Source organism: Homo sapiens, chromosome 3, assembly GCF_000001405.40.
Source record: "Homo sapiens chromosome 3, GRCh38.p14 Primary Assembly".
NCBI classification, from domain to species: Eukaryota; Metazoa; Chordata; class Mammalia; order Primates; family Hominidae; genus Homo; species Homo sapiens.
In genome coordinates, this window is record NC_000003.12 from 165,711,074 (window position 1) to 165,714,366 (window position 3,293).

Consider the following 3,293-nt stretch of genomic DNA (forward strand, 5'->3'; position numbering starts at 1 on the left):
TATCTATGTAATTCCTCAATCTGGGTCTGCAAATAAAAAAAAAATAAGACATACCATATGTCATATTGGAAAGACATCAATGCATACACACACATACACACTTATAATTTTGTTATATATAAACGTATTTCTTAAAAATCTATGGTATATTTGTTAGCTCCAGTTCAGAAGCTATTTTTTGAGAAGGCAGAAGAAAATCATCTTCATGTTTATTGGACCATGCATTTTCAGCCAAAGAGCAATTATACTTCTTAATATCACTAAGCACATTATAATGCTGAAAAGAAATATTGGTGGAAATTGTAATTTAAATTGCAGCAAAAGCTATGAAAAGTCAGCATTATTAAAAACTGCTGAAAATTCAAAATCTAAATAGGTGACTAAACAACTAGCTGAAGAAAAAAATAGAATCATGGGCTAGATCAAGAAGACACTGAATGTTAATAATTTTATTTTTCAAAGAATAGTCTCTGAAGTTATTCCAAGCATTTCTGAATAATTAAATATAAATTGGCATCTATTGAGAAGAATCTTGTATCCAGAACTGATAAAGAGTGGATATTCTCCTGATGGATAGACTGGCCTGTATCTATTATTTTAGTTCAATGTCTATGTTGTTTTGCTTTTTAAAATGTTTTAAATGTCATATCTGATATTATCTATTAGTTTATGTTTAATTGGGGAGAAGTTAATTTGAGCATGTTTTGCTTTTCTCTCATGCATTTGAACTTTTTCTTGCATATTTGGTCCACTTTTATTGTCAAGGACTCAAGCACTATCACTATTTATTTTTCTTAAATTTTAGTTCTTCAGTTTCTTAGTTAAGGCCCTTCTTACTTCCAAATAACACATGGCCTCATCTGAGATGACCTGTTAAGAGTCAACTCTCAGTAAATATTTACTACAAGCTTGAATAACCCAACCTCCCTGCCCCCACTGCCTCATTTTAATTTATTCCTACCTCCTGTGTCTCTGGACAGTGGTAGGATGACTTTCCTCATCCTGATTCTACTTTTACTCAACAATGTGTTATAAATGAAGGCATAGCACTCAGTCTTCCTTGTATTCAACCTTTTTTCTTAATCAAATTTACTGATTAAAATCAAATTATTTCCCTTAGTAAAACACTTTTGAATGGTTCCCATTTGTAATTTGAAAGATATACAGAGGTTATACCTTTGAAGTCAAAGATATTATGAAAATTTCCTGCCCACCTTTTTCATGTACCTATGACACAGGATCCTTAGGATGTTGCCTTGCCAGCCAAAACCTCTGTGGTGTTGGTGCCTTCTGCCTGAGTACTGCTTGGACCACTGGGCTGGATCCTACCACTCAGCCCAGCAGGCTGCACTCAGTTCACACTATCGGCCTGGATTTCATGCCTGCCAAGGACAAGCCTGGCACAGAGCAAGCACGGGGGTCCCGCCACTGTGTACAGTCAGGAGTGCCAGCTGCAGCAGGGTGGGCAGCTCCCAGAGCCGGAACAGGTGCTGGTTCCATCAGACGCTACAGCTGGACCAGGCATACCATAAGCAGCTTCTACTGTGGGCACCAGAGAATGCGGCGGTGCCTCAAAACTTAGCGATATCAGGAACTGCAGAGCCCCAAGGATGGTGTTGCAGCCCTGGCTCAAGGAACCCTAAGTCTGGACTCCCCAGAGGGCTGCAACTAGCTTCTTCCTTCTTGTACCTGCAATGTGGTGAGCAGGAGGTGTGTTTCAGCCCTGTTTGTGTTACAGCTCTTTCTCTTTCAGCCCTGCTCTTTGGCAGGTCCCAAGTTCTTTTCCTGCATCCAGGAAGAATGAGGTACATGGACAACTGGAGGGTGAGCAAAGCAAAGAGGAGCTTCATTGAGCAACAGAATAGCACTCAGGAGATGTGAAGTGGGTAGCTCCTTTCCACAAGCAGGTCATCCCGACGAGTGTTCAACTATCAGTGGAGAGGAGAACCACACTGGGCAGCTCCTTCCTAAAGCTGGTAGTCTTGACATCTCTGTGAGTCTGGTTGAATCCAGGGTTTTTATGGGCTTCAGAAGGAAGGAAGTGCATGCTGATTGGTCCATCGACAGCCATGGGTGGGCCCATATAAGTCACCATAAATTATCACTCCAGGCTGCTGACTCCACAGGGAACTGACAGCCCAGGCCCTATTCTTTACCTGGCTTGAAGGTTAGGCTTAACAGGAGATCCACTCTTTTTCACAAAGGAACCTGTCTGCCTCCAGCTGCCATCAATCATGTTGTCCATGCTGTTGAGGAGGTGCCTACAGGCCTGTGCTGAGTCAGCCTCAGCTCCTACTCAGCCTCTCTCCTGTGCTCCACACCGAAAGTCCGGATGGGGCTGAGGCAGCAGGGGGCTGGTGTGCCAGCACTGCCTCAAGTGCATGCACACCTGTCCGGGTTGTGACATCATCCAGGAGGGGCCTCAACTTTGGTCTGAAATTGGATCGGGCACCGAAAGTGAGGAGAGGCCAGGCAGTGGGAGTAGGAACTTCTGAGCCTGCGGGGGCAGCTGGATTCCCAGGCCTCTGAGAGTGCAGGGATGCATGGATCCACAGCCACAGCTGGGTGGCTGCAGCCACACCTGGGTGGGGGTCTGGGGTCTCCAGCCCTGCCAGCTCAGAAGGGGACAGGGCCCCCTCCTGTTCCCAGCTCTTGCCGGCTCCATGGAGTGTGCAACCCCAGCAATTGCTTCCCCAATGCAGATGGTGTCTTCGCAGCAGCCACTGCAGGTGGGCTGCGCTGCCATCAATCCTCCCTCTGAAGAGGTACAGGAAACTGCCATTAGGATAGGGATGATGACCACGCTTAACGGCTTCATGCTGCTAGGAGGCACTGTTTTGGGGAAAACGCAGTCAGATCTTTCTCAGAGGCCTATCCAAGGGTCCTTGGTAAAAGGGAGCCATCATCTGAGGCTCCAGTTGCATGACCACTTGGTGTCTGATGGCCTCTAGGCAAGAAGAAACAAATTTTACAAGGAGGTTAATTATGCGAAGGAAAAAATCTAGTGCCAAAGATAACAGAAATAAGAAGTAAAATAGACTAATCATTCAGAAAACAATATTGTGGCTAGAGCTGTTTCACCCTGGTAAAAGAAATTAAATCTTGTATGGGGGCAGTTAAAGTTTAAAAGAGAAATAACTGTTTAGGGGGGTAGATAATCCCTTGAGTTTACTTTCCCGAAAAAGAAACCTTTGGGTTATCGGCACCCCATTTACCCCCCATCTCTTGGCAGGATTTACAGGATAATTGCCCAGAATTAGAATGTTCATCCAGATTTTTACTTTACCTATCCC

The 3,293-nt window shown here is 44.5% G+C and overlaps 1 annotated feature.

Annotated features, from left to right (window-relative positions):
- Positions 2,264-2,763: an enhancer, noted in NCBI's record as "H3K27ac hESC enhancer chr3:165431125-165431624 (GRCh37/hg19 assembly coordinates)". NCBI's record gives its function as "activates a minimal SCP1, AML or CMV promoter by ChIP-STARR-seq in primed H9 embryonic stem cells {active_cell/tissue: H9 hESC(primed)}" and the evidence as "EXISTENCE:reporter gene assay evidence [ECO:0000049][PMID:30033119]".